Below are 24,102 nucleotides of genomic sequence, written 5' to 3' on the forward strand. Positions count from 1 at the left end.
GGTGCTGAGATGTGTAGATTCGTAAAATTGCACTCTTGGGATTGCCCATCATGGTGGGCTCATAAATAGCATTCAGGGACATTCCAAAATGCCAAACTTCAGCCTTTGTTGGTTTCAAATGATAAATAAGCCAAAAGCATGTCTGTGATTCTAATGAGGTTCAGGCCTTAGCATTCTCAACCAGCCTCTCTCAGGACAGACAGCAGGGAGGATAATAGCATCACCCACACACAGAGGGCCAGAAAAACAAAGATGAAAAACAACCAAGAAAACATGGATACATGATGGGTTCAGTTTTAGGTATGTCACATTTGAGTTCCTGAGGCACTAAAGGGTTAGCTATATGGTTAGGGGAGAGAGAACATGGGTAAACCTGAAGTCATCCCAATAACCAAGGCGAGAAAACAGATGAGCTTCCTTGGGTAGACAGCACTGAGAAAGGAGATGCAGTATCGTCATGTCAGGTGGGAATGAGGGCAGATGAAAAGGGACTCTGCATTGGGGAGACTGACTGAGCAGTGAGGAGGTCAGCACTCCAAGCAGTCTTATGTGCCAGTTTCTATAGATGGCCACTAGACGTGTTAGGGAGCTGGAGGGGTGGGAAATTTGTCACCCTGAAAACAGGGCTGGGCTTCATGACAGTCACCCTGCAAACCCAAGAGGCAGTTTGCCATAATGGATAAAAACACGAGCCACAGGCTCAGGAAGACCCAGATTCTCGTCCCAGTTTTGTCACTGGTGTGACCTGGGATGCATTATTTAATGTCTCTCAATCTCATTGAATTTGAGCAATAACCAAGGGAAATGTCCAATGGACAGCTTCTGATCTCTGAGAACATCTTTTACTCTCCCTATGTCACCAAAATGGAGCCAACTGCTCAGATAACAACAAGGCTGAACAATGTCCTGCCCAGGTCCAGGGTTCTCCCTGAGCTGTGGAGCTAGGGAAAGAGAAATTATCCATCATAGTGTGGAATATTCAGAAGTGCCCTCTAGGGATACAGAGAAAGCTGGGTGCTGGATGCTTATCATTTTTCAGCCTACTTGACTCTCCAGGTCTTCTAGTCGATTCTTGAATAGTTGATCACCTTAGTGGTACAGCTGATAAAAATCTGCTATTAAGATGACAAAAGCTATTTTCAAATGGGAGTTTTCATTTATGAGCAGAAGCACTATGGGGAGAATATTTGGGGAACATTGAATATACAAAGCAAACAGAAAGACCACTGAAGGAAATTCCAACCTTCGATGTGGGCGGTACCTTTACTAGTCTCATCCCAAGTCAATTAGAAAGTATAGTCAAGAATGATTCATCTCAAGTGGCATGAGTTAGGCTGAATTAGCCAATTCACTCAGGGAAGTTGGACCAGCAGCTCCAGATAGAGCCAGAGGAACGTATGATTCTCAAGGAACTCGAAGAGACAGGACAGGTTGTCTACCAAGCCCTGGGCCTGGGAGGCATCAAGAGCAGTGTCAGACACCAAGCTTCTGGGCATGCCATCTGGTCACTTCCAGGCACTCTTTCTATGCATGAAAAGCTAATACTAAAAGAACCCAAAGAAAGGTATTTTTAAAGTGACTAAAATATATAGGAAACCTGTGTGCAGGGGAAAAGTGGTAATTGACAACTCTCTGTATGTTCAGTTTTTTTGTAAACCTAAAACTGTTCTGAAAAATAAAGTCTATTAATATTTTTTGTAATGACTATAGGCTACTGGTTAAAAGCCCGGGCTCTGGAGTCAGAGGCTTGGGCTTTGTCTGTGATACCACTTATTGGCAGTTGTTATATCCTTGGCCAGGCAAGTCTCTTCAAATTCAGAATTCTCATTTGTAATCAGTTTAAGACAAATACAATCAGGTATAACAACACAGTACTTGGTCTAATGTAAAAAGTAAATTAAAAAAATTAAATAACTACCTGGCAGTTTGGGCTGTAGGACTGATATTTCCTTCCTATAAAGCAGTTGGAGAAGTGGCCTCAGAGAATTACAGTCATCTATACATTTTGAAATCTTTCCTTAGAAAACAAGGGGTTAATGCAAAGCTCCTTTCTTCATAGATTATGAAGATGGTTACAAAATCACATAAAAATTATTAATAGTAGATAACTTTTCTGGCCAAGTTATGTCATAGGTTTAGCACAGTACAGATTTTATTGTTACAAATGTAATTCCAAATTTAATAGGTAGTATTTATTCAGCCATCAGCTCTATAGATTATTGCTGTTATAAATACCTTTTGCTTAGGAGAATAAGTGTAATGTCAATCATATGCAAGATTCTAGAGGGGACCTAGGGAATGAACAATATGAAATGTCATTTCCAATCCCTGGAAGTAGTTAGAAATTATGATAGAATACATATTCAAAGACAAATGTAAGCATTATCAACTGGAGGAAAGGAGATATGAGTTCTGAGTACAGAAAGAATTCCCAGCTTTTAACATAATGACAGCTGACATTTATGGAGCATTTACCACAGGAGATGAGCTAAGACCTTCATATATATGTTATAGCATGCCATTCTAACAACAATCCTAGGAATTAGATAGTATGCTTTTTCCCATTTTAAACAAAAGGAAACTGAGGAGGATGAGAGAGTAAATAACCTGTCCCAAATCACCCAAGTAGCATGTAAAGTTCTGCAAGGAACTATCTTTCTGAGCTAGGCAGAACCTTTTGCAAAGGGCAGAGTTGAATTAATATTTTAAGAAAATAATTCAGTTCCAATCCTTGTAAGTGCATCCTGGATTAATCTTGTTTTACATTTCAGAAATGACATGGAAGAAGAAATTTTTAAACAACCATTGATATGAAAATATATCTGGGTTTTCAAGAAGTCTATGCAAGATTTTCACGCCAAAGATTGTTTTAAAACAAAACTGAATGATGATTGGGCCATGTTTTGCAATGGATGCAAAGTTCACTTAACAATATGCAGCTAAGGGAAGAGATTAATGTCTGTCTTTATGATGGACATGTCAGTACCAATACTTGCAAATGGGTCCTGAATTAATCTTATTCTGCATTTCAGAAATGGCATGGAAAAGGAAGTGCAGAATGATAAATCTGAATTTGCAGATGATGTTAACATTTTTCAGAGTGAAATGCTAAGCAACCACAGAACAAGCTCATAAACCATGAAGCAGAGGTTCAATAGTGGCAGATGACTTGCACTGCAGGCCAGTAATGATGCCATTAAAGAAAACAAAGCCAGCTACTCCTAACAAATAACAAGCACTAAGCTATTAGTTTAATCAGGTGTGGGATTTGGGGAGCTCTGATAGAATATACTGATATGACAAAAAAGCCAAGAAAATAATGTGCATCTCTAGGAAGGGTTTGGAAAACAATCCCACAGGCATAATTATTTCATATTTATTTTATAAAATGCCCTTGTTCCCATTTTCACATATTAATTCATTTTTTTAAATTGAGATCATTGTAGATTCACATGCTGCTGTAAGAAATAATAGAGATCCCTTGTATACTTTGCCCAGTTTCTTCCAGTGGTGACATTCTGTAAAACTATAGTACCTCTGCTGATATTTACAAATAAAATTGTAGTATTTGACTCCATGTGAAATACGCTATGCAGTTCAGGTAAATATACATCAAAAGAGGCACAGGGACCTAGAGATGGATTCGATCAGAGGAGGCAAAATTACAGAAACAGAGGGGCTGTAGCAAATAAATCAACCACAAATCTAGATCTCTTCAGTCTGACAAGACAAAGTCAGGGATGGATTTTAAAATGACTTACAAAATACGTTAATTATATAGAGAGTATATAGACCAGCTATATATTTCATTCCAAATTCTAGAATATTAGAACTTTGGGGACTTACCATTTAAGCTGGATGGTAAATAGCATACTGATGAAGAGTTTAGGCTATGGAGTCAGAGTGGGGAAAGCCCCACTAACACTTCCCCACTTTCCACCCAGCCACCCTCTACTCAGCAGCTTTGGGCCCTTCAGCCAGTGTATTAGTTCGTTTTCATGTTGCTGATAAAGACATACCCAAGACTGGGCAATTCGTAAAAGAAAGAGGTTTATTGGACTCACAGCTCCACGTGGCTGTGGAAGCCTAACATTCATGGCAGAAGGGAAAGGCTTGTCTCACATGGTGGCAGACAAGAGAAGAGAGCTTGTGCAGGGAAACTCCCCTTTTGAAAACCATCAGACCTCATGTGACTTATTCACTATCACGAGAGCAGCATGGGAAAGACCTGCCCCCATGATTCAATTACCTCCCACCAGGTCCCTCCCACAACACATGGGAATTCAAGATGAGATCTGGGTGGGGACAAAGCCAAACCATATCACCAGTTACATCTCCAAGTTTATTTCCTCATCTTTCATCTGGGGGTGATAATGAAAACTATATCATAGAGTTCTTGTGCAGAATAAGAAAATCCATCCACTAATGCCCAATCCATTCACTAATGCCTGATGCAAATAAAGAGGTCATTGTTAGCTAATGTTGATGTTATTCACTTAAGAGCTTTTACAGCAAAGGTTTCTGAACCTCAGCACTATTGACCATTCAGCACTATTGAACCAGATAATTCTTTGATGAGGGAGAAGGGTGGTCCTGTTTATTTCAGGATGTTTAACAGAATTCCTGGCTTCTACTCACCAGATGCCAGGAATGTCCACCCCCTCATTGTAACCAGTTGTGTCTCTAGATACTGCCAAATGTCCTCGAGGGCGGCAAAAAATAGACCCCAATTGAAAACCTCTATTTTAAAGGAACCAACTTAAGACAAATAAATGAAGTACTACTTTCCATAATAGTAGCCATTTTTCAGTTAAAGCATTAGATGGTACATCCTGAATATATATAAAGGCTCTAGAAGGCTTTAGAAGTCTCGATGTCACATACACATACACACACACACACACACACACACACCATAATGAATTAAGTTTCTAAAAGATATTTGGAAATTCTGTGCACTTCTGAGGTTGAATGAAGATCTCTTCTTACTGACTTTCAAAGACTATCTGGGGTTGCCCCCACATAGGCTGAAATATCAAGTTTTATGGATAACCAGATGCTCCTAGTAGGATACCTGAAATGCTTTCCTATTCTAGAAATCTATTTCTAAATCGCACCTGCAGCAGGAACATATTTCATGTCACCCCTGGAGTGGCACCGTGTTCTATAAAGTATTACTGAACCTTCTTGCACTTCAGAATCATCAAGGGAGTTTTTCAAATGTAGGGATTCTTAGGCCTCATCTTTATATTTTAATTTTTAATTTTAAGGTAGGGATCTCAGACAGCTGTAAATTTGATAAGCATTTCCAATTAATTGAAAACTTCTGGTCAAGTGGACAGTGTCTGGAAATATGAGCGAAAAGGTCAGGTTCTGGTTGACTCTGACCTATGTCAACTTCAACTTTGGAAGAGACCTATAGATTATGCAGAATTCTGCATGAGAATAATTGTAGACTCTAAATAGACATACTACATTAGTGTCTTACCCAAATTGAAAGTTCAATTTGAAGATCAAGATTTTAGAAAAATATAATAAAGTACTGCTATGGAATTATTATTTTTAGTAATAGGTGTGCAGTTATTCTGGTGACAGTTTTTGCTAAAACTCCAAACCATCAATCATCCTTGGTCAGACAGAACAAAGGCTACTATGCTGAGTCATGTGGAACATGAACAGTCCTTCTCCACACTCTAAAATCATAAGCAGTGGAAAAGACAATCCTCATTCCATTTTCCGTTCAATCACATCAGAATAGGTGCTTACTAATTCCATGCTGGAAATATTTGCTTCAGCTGTAAGAAGATATTGATAGAGTTAGAGGTATTTTGAGCCTATTATGTGGGTTTCTGCCTTAGTCAGTTCTGGCTGCTATAACAAATTACCATAGACTGAGTGGCTTATTAACAACAGAAATTTATCTCTCACAGTTCTGGAGGCTAGAAGTTCAAGATCAGGTGCCAGCCTGGTCAACTTCTGATAAGGGCTCTCTTCCAGCTTGCAGAGGGCTGACTTCTTACAGCCTCACATGGAGGGAAGAGGGCAAGCTAGCTTTCTGTACTCTTATAAGGGCACTAATCCCATGGCTTAATCACCTTCCCAAGGTCCCACCTCCAAACTTCAACATATATTTTAATAAGTTGTTGGGGAAACACAAAGACTCAGTCTATAACAGCTTCTGTCTCACAGGTTGTGGTTTGCAACCTACAAGTAGGGTGACCAACTGTCCTGGAATATCTGGGAGTGAAGATTTCCTAGCATGTGGGATATTTAGTGCTAAAAATAGGACAATCCTGTGCAAACCAATCCAGTTGGTTACCCTTTGTATGGCCCCAAGCTGCCTTGCAGCCAATTTCCTCTCCATCAATTTTTCCCTAAGGGCCCTCTATTCCTCAAATCTGCCTATATCCCCATCCCACTCACTCCCAACCCTTGGACTTTCTCCTCCTGAAATAAGTAAGCAGATGGAGCCAACTGGCCACAGACCCTGAGTTACAAGTCCCATGTGATCTGTGAGCCTCTTCCCGTTGGCAAAATTGAGGTACAGCAGAGTCAGACAGAACTTGACATTATCTCCCAATTCAAGACACTGTCCACTTGAATAGTGTGGTTCTATTATTCAGGAGGGTTTATGAAACACACAGATTCCAGGACTTTCATCCTAGACTGTCTAGAGAGGATGCCAGAGAATCTCCACATTGGAAAAGCTTCCTGGTAATTATGATCTGTAAGAAGGTTCTGGAACAGTATCTAGAATACAGTGTCCCCAGGGGTACCATGAAATGCGTTCTTGCTGCATATGCAGTTTACAACTGGTTGTCTAGGACAGGGGAGCATGTCAAGTCTCTTACTAGGTGGAACTGATCTTGGCAACCCATAAACCCAAGTTAAAGCCAATCAAGTCTATAGTGAATTTGAAACCCACTAGGTCACATGAATTTATCCTTTGAATGTTTGCTATTTATGGTTAAGTGACAGCATATTATATCCAGGTATTCTTATGAAAATCACTTGTTCATATCACATGTTCAAATCCGTGTTCAAAATCACGGATTTTGTCCATGTTATTGACATCAAAAATTACTAATTGAATTTTTATAACAATTATGATTTGAATATTTGTATACATGTAAGGCTCAGAGATAATGCTAGATGTTAAGAAAGAGAAAACTGTTTATAAGTTACTATAATCTTTTATGGACTATGGCCATCTGTGTTCATCTTACACAACCATCCTCTCACCAGGACTAACATGAAAAAACTTAAAGTTTTAAGGTGTCCAAAGATCATTCTAGAAATCCATCCCTGAGTTAAGAACCATGGATCTGAGCATAAATTTCTTCCCTGAGTGACTCATTGATTAGAAAAATGCATGGTCTTCCTGTAAGAGTGCATCTAAGAACCCAGTGAGACCAAACCATCCCATAATTTAAGTCACAAAGGCACCTTACAACTGCCTGTCACTTTGGCAATATCCCTGCCAAATGAAGAGACTCCTTAGGTCCCTGGAAACATCAGTTTTCTAGATGTCTCTACAATCTAGTTTTCTAGACTCTCTTGGGAGATCTGAGACATTTCAGATTCATCTACATTTTGGAAAATCCAGCATGCAACCCACAAGCCTCCTCTCTAAAGAGACTTCTGCACATCTCTGCCATTTGATATTTAACATGGAATGCATTGCTAGTTCCTCCGTGTGAGCAATCCCTACATAAACCCTGTATTTATTTTCATTTTATAACAAGTGATAATAAGCTTGTACAAAATCTTGCCCATGCCGAATTAGAAAATCCAAAACTATTCTTAATTGTTGGGAAGACACATAAAAGTCATGATGAAAAGAAGAAAAAATATATCCACATCCAACATGCAACAAATATTTTACTGAACACTTTGTCAGAAACTTGTATAGTTAATCCAAATCATCAAATAACTCAACAGTTAACTTGTACTTGGCTTGAGACTTCTTTATGTGTTTTGTATTAAATATGTTGTCTGTTTGCAGGGAGTGGAATCTGGTGTTGAGGGAAGAAAAGGGATGTTGTCTAAATAATCTGACTGAAATTGCTAATTGGCTTGACGTTGGCTCCTGTTCAATTTTATTTGCCACTCATCCAAACATAATGGCCAACAGAGCAGGAGAGCTCACTGGGCAACAAAGACAGCCAACTGGCCACCTGCATCCATAGGGAAACAATGTACCACTCACCAGCAATGCTATACTAGGCTTCAGTGTCTTATGAAGAATGGTAGTACTTCACAGGTCAGTTTAAGTATTTAATATAATACACAAAAAGTGCTTAGAACAGTGCCAGGATCATAGAATGTTTTAAATAATGATAGTAGCTACTACTAGTAGCTATTATATGCCACCATTATTAGTACACATTCCAGCACTGGAGAGTACTGATTTACCTGCTTAGACTATGTGGGTCTGTTTTCTTTCTTTTTTCTTTAAAATTTGTTTAAATTGTTCATTTATTTTTACTTTTAATTTGGGCATATAGTAGGTGTATATATTTATGGGGTCTGCTTTCAACAGGAGTATCTAAAATGTACAATTGCTAATGGTACTGAAACAGATTACCTGTGTAAATCTTTGCCTTCAACTCCTAGAGATTAAGGACCTTTCATGAAGAATGCTCCCTAAGCCTATTTCTACCATTTATCTGGAAACCAGTCTGCAAACTTGTGACCTCTTTGTTATGTTAGAAAACATAAGCTGTGCTCTCACTTATATAAATCAGTGTTTCTTTCCTCTCCAAATATTCCTGGGAACATTAATTTGCCTGCTGTTGGCTAGCCAATCTACCATCCCCGGAATTAAAGCCAGAGACTAACAGAAAATTGAGACTCAATTTGGGACTTTTTGACAAGGAAATTAATGAAAAAAAAAAATGGAAACCAAACAAGACAATACAGGATCAGAATGAGCTGTCAGTGGACCACTCACCCCCACTTTCCCTGCATGCATGGATCATCTTACAAGCAGTTAACAGGAAAGGAAGTAGCAGTATGGAAACTTCCCCATCCTCAACACATCAAAAAGAAGAATTTCAAGACAGCACAGGTTATCTAGGTCCAGTAATATAAAATAAGCATAGCACTCATTTGTCCCAGGAGACCAAATGGGAAAATGAAGACTAGATGTTGTGATGGGTACTTTCACCTTACACAAATGACACCCATTTGTGTAAGTGTGACTCTTGGCCGCATCTAGACAGGTCTATGTTATAGCAAATCCCAATCCTTCCTGCTCCCCCTCAGCAACTCCTGGGCAACTCAGAAGCACCTCTTGGGCTTTCATGTTGCCCCAGGCACTGTTTTCCCTCAGGGGCTCAGGCTGAGTGTGAACCAGCAAGAGACTGAACTACCTTGAGAGTACAATTTGGGACAACCCCCAGCCCTGTATCTTACCTGCAGAATCTGTCCCATCGGCAAGCACGCTCTGGGTTGATGCTGGCGCCGGGTCCTTGACTCCATGCACCTGAGCAGCTTCTTCCTGGTTTGTTAAAAATGCAGAGCACAGATCAGATTCGAGGGCTTGCAGCTTCAGCAAGGAATTCTGCCAGCAAAAGCAGAACATGAGGCCAGCTAAGTAGATGCCTAACACACAACAGTGTGTCCGCAGCTCCCGCAAGCACCTTCCTCCACTGCCTGGCAGGAAGAGGGTGGTGGCAACAGCTGCTTCAGGGAAAGAACTGGTTGTGCCAGAATCATATACGCATCATTCCACATGCAGGCTGAGTTTCTGCCTCATTTAAATCCTAACGTATATGGATTATCTGTGACACATGGGACTGGTGATTTCATCAGCAAGAGACGCTGCATCTGGAGAACCAATCTGAGAAGATATCTGCTTCCCGGGTGCTTGAGGCTTTACGCTTTGAGTGTTTCATTCATTGTGCTGACATCAGGAAGCAGAAGACATTAGGTCCCTCCCTGGCTACCGTTCATAAAAGCCATCATCCCTCCAAAGCAAAGACTGCAGCAAACTGCAGTGCACAAAGAGTTACTGCTGCAGAGGCTGCCTGGCATCTGGGAGGGGCTTTGAGGCTCCCTAGTCCACATTGGTATGCTGGGGTATGTGTGTGTGTGTGTGTGTGTGTCTTCTAAAGTTACTTCTCTTACATGAGAACAGGGTGAAAGAAAAGGGTGGAGGGAGATGACCTTGGTCATTTAGCATAACCTAGCCACTGAGGAAGAAGCAATTTATCTTTCATAGCCCTCAGCATAACCTCCCACCCACTCTCTTCATTTCTCATTTAAAATTTCTCCCATGATTCTTAATAAGAACAAAGTCATACAGATTGACGCATGCATCCTGCCATGATGCAGATGCCAGCAAATTAATTCCTCCGACCAGGTGAAAGTGAGTCAGCCTGAGTCCCTGGCCAGGCTCTCTCCCTCTCCACGAGAAGGTTCTGCAGGTCTCAGCTGCTCTTCTGTCCTCCCAGCTCCAGCAGGGGTGGGCACCGGGAGCAGAGCCACTGGTCCTTTCCCTGCTAGGACCCTCCAACACACACAGGCACACACACACCTACTCACACCCTACCCTCTGCATATCCTTTCCCCCACACAGTGTCACTCCCACTCCACAGCCCCACCCCTGCCACATACACACCCTCACCCCCTACTCCACACACACACACGTATGTACACCCTCAGCCCCTAGTGATCACCTCCATCCTACATGCACTCTCATACCTACCCTCACCTCCTACTCCACACAGACGCTCATACCAAACCCCCATACTCTCATCCCTACTCCCCACACCTAAAAACACCCCACCTTCCACACACACACACCCTTACCCCACACATACCTCATACCCTCACATCCAGCCCCCGAAACCTCCCAGCCTACTCCACACATACCCATGCACACCCACCTCACACACACCCACATCCAATTCCCATGCCTTCACATACTGTCCACACACACACACCTGCTCCATACACACCTTCACACCTCTCCTCACATAGACATCTATCCAACATCTCTCACACCCCAACTCCTCCCTTCCATGCAAGATCGAGTCCCACACACACCACTTGATCCATTCTGTTGATGTGAGTATGAACCTACAGTAGTGTTTTACAAGCTGCCCACCAAGGGATGTCTAAAATCTGTTGTCTCTTCACCATTCTGAAAGGAGCAGGTGCCTAGGCAGGCTCAGGATCACACCTCTGCCATGCCTGGAGATGGGGTGGGACCCGGCGCAAACCTCCTAAGAGCTCAGCGGCTGCTGTCTGGGAGCCCATAGCTCACGTGAAGCACCTGTGTGGGACTGGGCCATTTTTTTGGCTTCCTCCTCCATTCTGGGAAGTTTTCCCAGCAGCTGAGTGTGGAAGCAAGAACTGAGGTTGTTGACAGGAGCTGCTGAAGGAACAGGCACACCAAGTTTCTGGGAGGATTTACTATTTAGTAAACAAGCAGCTGGGAGGCAAACAAAGATTCTAGGCAAGTTTCCTACTGAAGGACATTGGAAATCAGTGACCTCTCAAAAAGAGCAAAACTACCCTGAAGATTAACAAATAATGCCATGGGAATGCAAAATGGTGCTGCCACTATGCAAAACAGAATGATGGGCTCCCAAAATATTAAAAATAGAATTACCATATAATCCAGCAATTTCATTGCTGCATATCTAGCCAAAACAATTGGAAGCAGGGACTTGAACAGATATTCATACACTCACACTCATGGCTGCATTACTCACAATAACCAAGAGTTATGTTTTGGATAAAATAGTGTCTCTACAAAATTTATACATTGAAGCCCTAAGCCCCAATGATACTGTATTTGGAGACAGCCCCTTTAAAGAGGCAGTTAGGGTTAGATGAGGAAGCAATACCAGGGAGACAGACAGAAAGAAGGCCATGTGAGAAGGCAGCTGTCTGCAAGACAAGGAGAGAGGCTCAGGAGAAATTGACCCTGCTGGCACCTTGATCTGAGACTTCCAGTCTTCAGGACTGTGAAAAAATACATTTCTGTTGTTTAAGTTTCCAAGTCTGATATTTGTTATGGAAGAACTAACAGACTAACACAAGGTGGACACAGCCCAAGTGTCCATGAGCGGATGAATGGATAAACCAAACGTGGTTATGCACATACAATGGAACATTGTTCAGCATTCAAAAGGAAGGAATTCTGACACAGCAACATGCCACAACATGTATAAACTTTGAGGACATTATGCTAAGTGAAATAAACCAATCACAAAAGGATAACTACTGTATACTCCCACTTGCATAAGATATTTAGAGTAGTAAAATTCATCGAAGCTGGAAGCGGTGGCCTAAGCCTGTAAATCCCAGCACTTTGGGAGGCTGAGACAGGCGGATCACTTGAGGCCAGGAGGTTGAGACCAGGCTGGCTAACATGGGGAAACCTCGTCTATACTAAAAATATAAAAATTAGCTGGGCATGGTGGCACACACCTGTAATTTCAGCTGCTCAGGACACTGAGGCACGATAATTGCTTGAACCCGGGAGTTTGGGGTTGCAGTGAGCTGAGATTGTACCACTGCACTTCAGCCTGGGCAACAGAGCAAGACTCCATCTCAAATATATATATATATATATATATATATTCATCATACAGAAAGTAGAATGGTGGTTATCAAGAGCTGGTGCTGGGGGGTGGGACATAGGGAGGAGATGGGAGCTATTGTTTAATGGGTACAGAGTTTTATATTGGGAAGATGAAAAAAGTTCTGGAGATGGATGGTAGTGATGGTTGCCCAACAGTGTGACTGTACTTAATGTCACTGAACTACACACTTAAAAATGTTTAAATGGTGGCAGGGTGCAGTGGCTCATACCTGTAATCCCAGCACTTTGGGAGGTCAAGGCGGTGGATCACCTGAGGTCAGGAGTTTGAGACCAGCCTGACTGACATGGTGAAACCCTATTTCTACGAAAAAATACCAAAATTAACCGGGTGTGGTGGCACGCACCTGTAATCCCAGCTACTTAGGAGGCTGAGACAGGAGAATCGCTTGAACCCAGGAGGTGGAGGATGCAGTGAGCCAAGATCGCACCATTGCACTCCAGCCTGGGCAATAGAGCGAGACTCCATCTCAAAAAAAAAAAAAAAAAAAAAGGCCAGGTGTGGTGGCTCACGCCTGTAATCCCAGCACTTTGGGAGGCAGAGGTGGGAGGATCACTTGAGGTCAGGACTTCGAGACCAGCCTGACCAATATGGTGAAATCCTGTCTCTACTGAAAATACAAAAATTAGCCGGGCATGGTTGGGGGCGCCAGTAGTCCCAGCTACTCGGGAGTCTGAGACAGGACAATTGCTTGTACCCAGGAGGTGGAGGTTGCAGTGAGTGGAGATCATGCCACTGCACTCTAGCCTGGGTGACAGAGTGAGACTCTGTCTCAAAAAAAAAAAAAAAAAAAAAAAAAAAAAAGTTAAATGGTAAATTTTAGGTTAGATATATTTTAAGAATTTTTAAAAATGAATGAAAGGTAAAGTAAAAAGAAAGGCTAGCATTCTTTCTTTAACTTTACCTTTCATTCTTTTTTTTTTAATTGTAGAACCAGCTGCCTGTCTCAAATTTGTAAGTGCTCTTGTATATTCTGCAAAGCAGAAGAGGGCATAGCTTTCAGGTTCCCACAGAACGAGAGGGAATGTCAGCTTTGCTACATACCATGTGTCTGACTTTGGCCAAGCATCCTAGTTATTCTGGGCCTTAATGTCCTCTGTATAAAGGGGCAGTGTTAACAACAACAATGGTACTTGCTCTAAGGGATGCTCTCAGAATTAAACAAGGGAAATCATGGAAAGCTGGAAAGCACTTTGCAGAGCACCAGCATGTTGCAAACACACAAGGACTGGATTCTGTGTTTAGTATGACTATCTCCAAACCCCAAAGGCTGCCGGATAGAGCTCTGGCCATGTGGCAAGGCTGTACACTACACTGACACTGAGGCCTTGACTCATCACTTTACCCCCCAGGGTCTTATTTCTGCACCTGCCTAGCAAGGCCCTTAGGCTACATGACTTCTAAGTCCCCTTACAACTTTAAAGGAGAGAAAAGCAAACAGGCACATGGACTGGAGATGGATGCACAGAATCTGGCATGGAGTGGGTGCTTAGACACTGTGTTTGGAACGGAACCAAATGTCCAGACAACACAAATAGGTTTCAAAGAATTTCACTGCACAGGAGTTCACATTCAGAGATCCCTGGTCTCCCATAGGAACAGAGGTATAATGCCATGACCCAGTTATGGCTAGAACTATCCATTGGTGGCTGGGCGCAGTGGCTTATGCCTATAATCCCAGCACTTTGGGAGGCCGAGGTGGGTGGATCATTTGAGGTCAGGAGTTCAAGACCAGCCTAGCCAACATGGTGAAACCCCTTCTCTACTAAAAATATAAAACTTTAGCCAGGCATGGTGGCACACTCCTGTAATCCCAGCTACTTGGGTGGCAGAGGCATGAGAATTGCTTGAACCCAGGAGGTGGAGGGTGCAGTGAGCCAAGATCATGCCATTGCACTCCAGACTGGGCAACAGGGGGAAAAAGAAGAAGAAGAAGAAGCATCCATCGGTTGTTCTCATCCATCTTCCTCTGCCACTTTCTCCCTCACTGTACTCACACTAAGCAAGACTCTGAGTGTCAAAGGAGATCTAGTTGTGTGGCTGGTTTATTCCTTCTTCAGCTATTAGATAGGACTAAACTTAGAGTAATAGGGAAGAAATTAAGTGGCAAATGGAATAGGAGACAAAAGATGAAGGTCTGGAGAAACAAGAAGATCCCCAAGTAGAAGGGAAAACAAACTGTTATAAATGGAGGACAAGAAGGCAAAGAGGAAGAAACTCTGCAGACCAGCTGTCCTCAGTAATATTCCTTCCCACCCCTCACTGACCCATTACCTGAGGACAGTCTGCCTTTTGGCACCATGGGCCACTTGTAAGTCCTCCTGAACAGAGAGTGGGGACTTGGACACACTGTGTGGGATGGGGTCCATGAAGAGATACTTGTTCTGAGGATCAAGGAACCCATGACAAGGGGACGGGGAGATTTGTCTATGAGTAATCTACACTAGCAGTCCCAACCTTTTTGGCACCAGGGACCGGCTTTGCAGAAGACAATTTTTCCATGGACTGGGGCACGGGGATTGTTTTGGGATGAAACTGTTCCACCTCAGATCATGAGGCATTAGATCCTCAAAAGGAGCACGCAACATAGATTCCTCGCATGCGCAGTTCACAATAGGGTGCATGCTCCTGAGAATCTAATGCCACCACTGATCTGACAGGAGGCGGAGCTCAGGCAGTAAAGCTCGCTGCCCACTGCTCATCTTCTCGGGCCGTGCAGCCCAGGTCCTAACAGGCTACAGGCCGGTACTGGTCCATGGCTCTGGGGTTGGAGACCCCTGATCTACACCACTGCCACATACATGTCCTTCCAGTGGATGGGTGATCTGTCCTACCAGGTCTGTGCCCTGCAGAGCCACCCCAAGAAGGCTTCAGGACAGCTTGCAGTGAATGTGCAGAGTTCGTGTCCACCTTGCAGGCATGATGCCACACATCCAGCTCCACATGGAAAGCCAGGCAGCTTTCCATGCAAGAGCTGCACTAGGCTCTGCAGTATGAGGCTATTAGCAGCCCCTTCCTCGTGGGGCTTCCAGTCTAGTGGGAGATCACTAATAAGCAAGTAAACAAATCAAAAAATCATGACAGTTATTATTGTCATAGGGCTATGGAGGAAAGAAACAGCAAGCCCAGGGAGTGAGTGACTAACCACCCATTTCACTTCCATCATGCCCGACTTAGTGACCTTCAATGCAGGAACATGCTTTTCCCTCTACAGAAAGATGAGGGACCCTTCATTCCAGGTCCTAGTAAACCCCTACAGTCCTAGTGCCACCTCAACCCAGCCCTCTCTGATAGGACTTCCACTCTCCCTGCCTCCCCAAGCCCGTCACTCAGGGCCAGACTGCTAGTGCTTTTCCTGGTTTATATCCAAAGTCTCCTCAAACGAATGTCTAGAATCTGCAGGAAAATTGAGTAAGGGCTAACAGACCCTGTAAAGAACAATGACCACCCCTGCTGCTCCAACTATCCCATCTGGTTAAGAAAGAAGCCAGAGAGAAGTCTGTGAAACGTAGGTGTGGTTTTCTTTAAAAAGCTAATTTTTCCCATTTACATAATGGAGAATATGCTACTTGTTTTAGAAAATACTCTACTCATTTTCTCTCCTCTACAATTACTCAGGTCCCACTTTAGTTGGGTTGAAATAGAGAACACCCACACAGGCTGGATGGTTAAATACTATTTTAAGGTGCCTTTGTCTGCAATTCACCAGTCCCAGAGCAGGCACAGCTTACATTTAGTTCGTATGAAAGGCTTTAGTCCTCCTCTCCCATCCTTTTATCTGTCCAAGAATTGCATATGATTCCCTATGATGATATGAAGCAAATCAAGTTGGAAATCTGCTCAAAACTGGGGACATGACTGGGTCTCCAAATGTCTCCATTTCTACTTACCACTCTTCTTCCCTGAATTTCAATGTTTCTTGAATATATGCCCACCCACATACATACAACACCCTTCCTTTCCATCTGCTGATTCACCTGCTCTCTGCCCCCTCCTCCTCAGACCCTACTCAGCTCTAGTTGTTTCTCGGCCAAGATCCCATCAAATTATTGAGCCAGTTCTGATTATCTTATCTCAGCAGGGGGCCCCCTAGTGTCTCTTTTAGCATCTTGTTTATTTCCTTCACAAGGCTCGCCACATTATGTAATTTTGTGTATTGTTTATCAGCTCCATGAGAGCTAGCACCGTACCTCCATTGTTTACTGCTGCATCCTAGCGCAATGTGTAGAAAAGAGCCAACCAATAAAAAGGCTGCCATTGTATCTGAGTTTTGTCTTTCTGGGTCCTTTAGCCAGTATTTGCAGGGGGGGCAGGGGTCTCTGAGTATCCAATATTGACCCCTCCTGCTGCCCTGGTTTAGAAACCTTAAAGTGCTTAAAAATCACAGGGGAGTTTATAAAAGACGTGCACTCCCAGGACGTGCCCATTCCAGAGATTCTGGTTCAGTAGGTCTGAGGCAGGGTCTTTCAACACAAGAAGTCCAAGGGCCCTATTCCCTGGGGCCTTGACACACTATAAATATCTCAGTTGCCCACTTAGCTCTACTTGCCCCAGGGCCAGAAGCTTTTCTCTGAGCCCCAGCCCTCTGACTCCCTCATTGCCTTTTTATCCTTCGGTTGGTTCCCTTGAAAGCTGCCCCCACCCCTACCAGGAGGTATAAAGTGTGAAGTGCTCAGAAGCAAGAAGGTATTGCTTCCTGAACTTCTGGATGTTCTTGCCAACACAGTGGGACTTCTCCCAATGTCGACCATTACAAGAAAAAGCCAAATTTATCCCTCCCCTAAAGTAAAGACATTGGACTTTTGGCGAATCCCTCTGAGGACAGCGTCACTTGTGTCTGAGCATGGTTTGCAGCACAGCACACCTCAGCTCAGCCCGCCCCAGCTTCCCTCTGTTCAGGAGCTCAGCCCTCACTCTCCGCCACCTCCCAAAGGAGAAATTCAATGTAGGAGAGCAAGCTATTCACTTTAAGGAGCCTTCTGTTGACAAGAAAATCCAGGTCTTATTTGGATCCTATCAGCAATTCTTTTTAAACAAGGACAACCTAGCCACAATATACAATAATAAAACCCACATTTCCTTTAAGCTAAATGACTTCAACCTGGAAAGGGGAATCCTATACTTGATTTCACCTCATTATGATATCCTTGTTATGTTCACTTTATTAAATGAACAATAAGAACAAGATGTTTGGGAGAGAATAATACCATTTTATAAACTCCCTTTTTTTTTTTTTTTTTTTTTGAGATGGAGTCTTGCTCTGTCGCCCAGGCTGGAGTGCAGTGGTGTGATCTCGGCTCACTGCAAGCTCCACCTCCTGGGTTCACGCCATTCTCCTGCCTCAGCCTCCTGAGTAGCTGGGACTACAGGCGCCCACCATCACGCCTGGCGAATTTTTTATATTTTTAGTAGAGGCAGGGTTTCACCATATTAGCCAGGATGGTCTCTATCTCCTGACCTCGTGGTCCGCCCACCTTGGCCTCCCAAAGTGCTGGGATTACACGTGTGAGCCACTGCGCCTGACCTATAAACTCCCAATTTAAAGTAGAACTCTGAGCTTTTCTAGATAATAAGACTGATTTTTCTGAAAATACAATGTGTCTCACTTACAACTCATGGAATGAACTTCAATAGTTTCTCAATGGAGTTACTAGTACTTAAATTATCCAAAAGCACAGGTCTTAAGTTGGATAAGCCCCTAACCAGTCATTTTTCCCAGAACATTAATTAAATCCCAAGGGCTGAACTCCAAAGCTAGTCTGGGTTGTAGCCCATATGGTTGTTTCTTTGTGGCTTTGTTTCCATTTATTTTAGACCTGAAAAATATTCACCTTCAAAACTAAACTTAGTAAGATGGTAGCACAGGAGATGGCCCACTGGGCCCTTAATCTGGCTCATTCTGTGTCACAGGGCAAACCACCAAATGATGCTGGCTCATAGGCCATCTACTTTTTCTGATAACACTACCTTAACTCCTTCGTTTTCTAAAATTCAATGAATATTTATTAGAAATCAGTAAGTATTCACTGAAAATTATAAAATCACATGCCATATGAAATAACATATATCTATGCCTTTAAAGATGGCAGGTCACATTGGAAAGCATGGCCATTTCCTCAAATACTAATTTTTAAGTTATATATTTTTAAATTTTGAATTGACACATAATAATTATACATATTTACAGGGTACACGGTGAGTTTTGATACATACATAGTGATCAAATCACAATAATGAGATTATTCACTACCTCAAATATTTACCATTTGCTTGTGTTGGGAACATTCAAAATCTTCTCTCCTAGCTATTTGAAAATCCGTAGTAAATCATTATTGACGAGAGTCACACTACAGTGCTGTAGAATACTAGAACTTATTCCTCTTATCTAGCAATGATTTTATATCCTTTAACCAATCCCTCCCTGTCTCTCTCTCCCCCTTACCCTTCCCAGCATCTAGTAACCACTATTCTACTCTCTACTTCTGAGATCAACATTTTTTCTTTTTCTTTTTTTTTTTTTTTTTTTTTTGAGACGGAGTCTCATTCTGTTGCCCAGGATGGAGTGCAGTGGTGCAATCTCAGCTCAATGCAAACTCCACCTCCTGGGTTCACGCCATTCTCCTGCCTCAGCCTCCTGAGTAGCTGGGACTACAGGCGCCCACCACCATGCCCAGCTAATTTTTTTTTGTATTTTTAGTAGAGACGGGGTTTCACCGTGTTAGCCTGGATGGTCTCGATCTCCTGACCTCGTGATCCACCCGCCTCGGCCTCCCAAAGTGCTGGGATTACAGGCGTGAGCCACTGCGCCCGGCCAAGAACAACTTTCTTAGCATTCACACATGAGCAAGAACATGCAGTGTTTATCTTTCTGTGACTGGCTTATTTCATTTAATATAATTTTCTCCAGGATCACCCATGTTGCTGTAAATGACAATATTTCACTCTTTTTTATGACTGGATAATATTCCATTGTATATAAGTACCATATTTTCTTTATCCATTTGTCTGTTGATAGACACTTAGGTTGTCAAATACTAATATTTTGTAAGAAAATAAGAAAATTCAGCTCTTGTCTCTCTATAAACTTGAGTTTTATAACCTTCAGAAGGCCAAAAATGTCCTAAAAAAGACAATAGGTGCCAAGGCTAGGAAGGCCAGATGTCCCGACTTGATATGTGTCCCTGTAAACCTCTGGGAAGTGAGGACAGCAAAGTCCACTCTTGTACTGCAGCTGTTTCACCTCACCCCTGTACCAGACCCAAAGCTGGATACACATTTGCTTCTCAATAAATCCTGTTGAAAGAAAGAATTACCCTTAGAAGAAAACATTTCAAAGGTCACAGCTCTCAGGAAAAATTTGGTCTTCAGTTCAGCAGTAATATTTTCTAAAAGTTAGCAGGGGTAGGGGGAACAGAATATATTTATGAAAGCTGTCAACTTTGTATTTCACCAAGTGAGAGCATGTAAGAAAGAAAACAAACAAATCCCCTCCCCATCATTTCCTCACAAAATGAAAATTTTAAGAACAATTTCTAAGTGAAAGGTTGTTCATGGACTTTATAAAAAAACTCACTATATTCATTGCTCTTACGTTTATACTTTTGCCAAAAAGCAATAAAAACTACAGCACAGGCTGGCCCCGGGAGCCACTGAACTGGACACAGTTCCTTCCAGCCTTACATGAGAGAGTAGGAAATTAGTAGTATGAAGAGATATACATGAAAGAATGAGCAACAAGAAAAAGGATCAAGATGTCATGCCAGAGAAAACAGGAGGAGCCAATGGGACAAAGGGACAGAGGAGCTGGGGAGATGGGTAGGCTGCCAGGCAAAAGGCAGCACAGGTGGGTCAACTAGGCAAGTCCTGCCTCAATGCCTCTGCTCAGCCCAACACCTCTGATGCTTCTCCAAGGCAGTTCCCAGACAAGGAAAAATAGAGGCAGCTGCTGGCATGGCTTCCACTTTTTCTGCCAACACCACACTAAGGATTCCCCTGAGGGTGAGGCTCACAGACCTGGTTTCCCTGGAAATAAGAAAGCAGGCTAGATACCTGCATCTGAACAATGGGGCAGAATAAAGCAGGCCTGGAAGCCATTCAGAACTTTTTTGCCATGCAGTTCATTCAGCTGGGAATGAGAACTAGTATTCACACCGTGAACATGTTGGCTACGGGATGTCCTCATTGACACTGATAACAAAAGTTGTCTAAAATTAAATGAATCATAGGATACTGCTCCAGCTGAGGAACAAACCTTGGTAGGGGAGCAAGGTGACTCTACCTCAACTCAGAAAGCCATACCAGAAAAATGCTAAGTGGCATCCTGCAGGGGTCCAGCAGAGAGGAAAATTACCTTGGAGATCATGCTTCCAGAGACCAACATTATGCAGCATCTAATTACTTATCTTCTGAGAATAGCACTCCTAGATCCTAAGTGGGAAATATGGCCCAAGTCTAACAAATCAGCTTATTCCAAACACCAACATCACAGGAACTGGTTCAGAAATGGGCACATGCCCCAAGCCAGATAAATCAGACTGAAGTATGGGACTTTTTAGAACTGGGAAGGAGAGACTCTTATTTCACTGTGTGGTAGGCAGAATCCTAATATCCTGATAACATAATCAAACACTAATCTAGGTACTTCTATGAAGAGATTTGCAAATGTAATTAAAGCTTTAACTTAGCTGACCAAAGATACAGATTACTTGGCTGAGCCTGGACCAATCGGGGAGGCCTTTAAAATGCACAGAGTTTCTTCCAGTTGGTAGCAAAAGACAACATTATAGAAATTCAAAGCACAAGAAGGATTTGCCACGCTGTTGCTGGCTCCAAGATAAAGGGTGAGGAGGGGGAGTGTGACAGCCTCTAGAAGCTGAGAGCTGCCCTCAGGTGACACCCAGCAAGGAAGCAGGACACACAGTTGCACAACTACAAGGAACTAAATTCAGGCAATGACCTGAAGAAGCTGGGACGGGGGCTTTTCTCCAGAACCTCCAGATAAGAAACTACCCCAGCCAGTGCCTAGATTTCAATTTCATGAAACCCTAAGCAGAAAACCCAGTTGAGTCCACCCACATTTCTGACCTACATAACTGTAAGCTAATAAATAAATGTTTAAAGCCACTAAGCTCTTGGTAATTTATTACCCATTAATAGAAAACTAATATACACTGGAATTACTAAATAATTTGTCCCTAAAAAGGGGCTGACCTAAATAAAGATGAAGCCAATATAGAAAAAGAAGAACCCAGAGATAGAAATAGATGGCATCTCCAGTGATGAGTTTTCAATCCCTGGACCTAGCCATGCATAGAGCCTATCCTGATCCTAAGTTTTCTGCTATATGTCAATAACATCCTGTTCTTATTAAAACCAAGTTGAATTGACTTTCAGTCACACCGAAAGAATCACAGATACTTTTTAAAACACCCTCACTCAATCCCAAACTAAGGCCTAACCCTATAGACTGGGTTTGCATTTGAATAGAAAAATAGAGCTGCCTATTCTTACAGAAATAATACCATTCAGTCAGCTCAAGAATGTTAAAGGCCTAGGAAGCCTCTTCCTAGACCATTTTCACAAAATTAACACAATTTTGAGGAAGAAACACATCCTGAACAAAACAATAAGTACCATCTTGAGGCTTGACATGGTTTGATGCCAAAATACCTATATGATAAACTGTGGATGCAATAAAAACACAATCTAGTCCTTCACATGGAGATACACAGAGGCATAGACACATGCATACCGACTCAAAGAGGGACACTGCATGTGTGCAAATTGTCCTACTTTTAACAAAATTAACATATTAAAGGATTCTTCATCGATATCTTTGACATTGAGGCTAAAGTTTAGTTATTATGACCAGCATAATTGAACAGATAAGAGTTAACAGTAGTATGGGAAGAAAAATTAATTTTTCATATTGATTTCAGGTAAATAAATCATCTCTTTTATACCAAGCTAAATAAAAATAGGTATCTCCTTTGTAGAATAAGACTGCAATTATAGATCCAAGGTTAAACTTCTTAATATTGATATTAGGTCATTATTGAACATCTGTTGCATGCTAGTAATTTATTACATTTGTTTCTTATAAGATAGCCTCTTCCTCTAGATTCTAATGGTATTCCTAAGGAATTTATCCTCTTTTGGTAGAACCACAGTCAGAATATAACACAAGTCTGAATCCATGCTCATTGTGAGCATCTTCTCTTCCTCTGGTTCCCCAGTAACCAATGAGAGTGATGAGGACACACACAAATCTGGAAATCTCCTGGCTATTTTTGATAAAGTCAATACTAAATTTCAAAGCAACAACAGAGGCAGAACATACCTTTAGAATGCCCTGTAGGGTCAATTAACAGCAAAAATATTTCTACCTTATTCTATAAACACAAAGAGCACTCAAAATGGAGTCTTCAGAATAGAGTTACAGTAATATTCTTTCCATTAAAGAGATGCTATTATCCTCTCACTCTAACCCATTTATGCCTAGTGTTCCATTATTGGAACGCGAAGCATGTGGGAGTTATTTATATCCTACTGCTCAAAGTCATTGCCAAGGTCTGATTGCAAAAATTCAAAACATTGCAACCTTGGGCATAAATGGACAAAGCACTCATAAAGGGAGCACAATGCAGTATCAGAGAACTTGTGCTTGCCTTTTTCAGATGTTTTAGGTTCTGCTAGTTACCAGGTGAAATGGCTTAGCCAGTGTGACGGTGTTAACATTCCTTATGAAGTAACAATGTGACTGAAATTTCTCCACCTTCAAAAATCATTTCTCTTTCCTACTCTCTACCTCACAGTTAGAAATGGGGAAGCAAGGTGGGATGAATAGATTATCATCCCCTTTTGACCCTCACTGTTGAGTCTACCAATTTCTTCTCCCCTACAAAAGACAACACCATCCTTTCCTATTCCATGACCTGAATATTATAGGACTCAGCGACTTCCATCTGGGTTGGTTTCTTCCTCTCCATCAGTGGCCCCTGACATTCAGTTACTTCAAGGTCCAGGCTGACAATCATGCTATTGTCTGGCTTCATAATTCCTCAACCCCCTCAGTTCCAGGGTTCCTTCCACTTCACTATGGCTGGCTGCCTCAGCAAGTTGCAATAAACTTCAAGGATCTCAAACCTTCTAAACACAGTCCCCATCCCCTCTATCTCATTCACTCCCTGCAACTGAACTTATTCTGTCCTCCTAATTTTATTAAGGTTTTAGATTTTTCTATGTTCCTACAGTGAGTCATCCCACTTAGACTCCTTACCATGTGGGAAACATACCTGGGGGAGACAGACACCTGTCTCTATGGTTTTACTCTGGGGACAAAAAAAAAAGTCAGTATATCCACCTAGAAGTATTTCTCCCATTGATGCCTTAAGTCTTAGCTACCTTGAAATCCCCGCCATTGGAGGTATAGAGTTTACTGGTGTGCAAAAGACTCATGCAACATTTATCCATTTTTGCATTCCAG

General features: G+C 42.3%; 1 protein-coding gene across 24 annotated transcripts in view; it reads right to left on the reverse strand.

Annotated features, from left to right (window-relative positions):
• FAM13C (family with sequence similarity 13 member C) overlaps nt 1-24,102 on the reverse strand; it is a 117,053-nt gene that overhangs the window by 27,817 nt on the left and 65,134 nt on the right. For all 24 annotated transcript variants that reach the window (XM_006717702.4, NM_001347845.1, XM_017015891.2 and 21 more), the window contains 1 exon segment: nt 9,418-9,502. In XM_006717702.4, the coding sequence (XP_006717765.1) occupies nt 9,418-9,502 (85 nt within the window).

This window comes from Homo sapiens, chromosome 10 (genome assembly GCF_000001405.40).
Source record: "Homo sapiens chromosome 10, GRCh38.p14 Primary Assembly".
Classification (NCBI taxonomy): domain Eukaryota; kingdom Metazoa; phylum Chordata; class Mammalia; order Primates; family Hominidae; genus Homo; species Homo sapiens.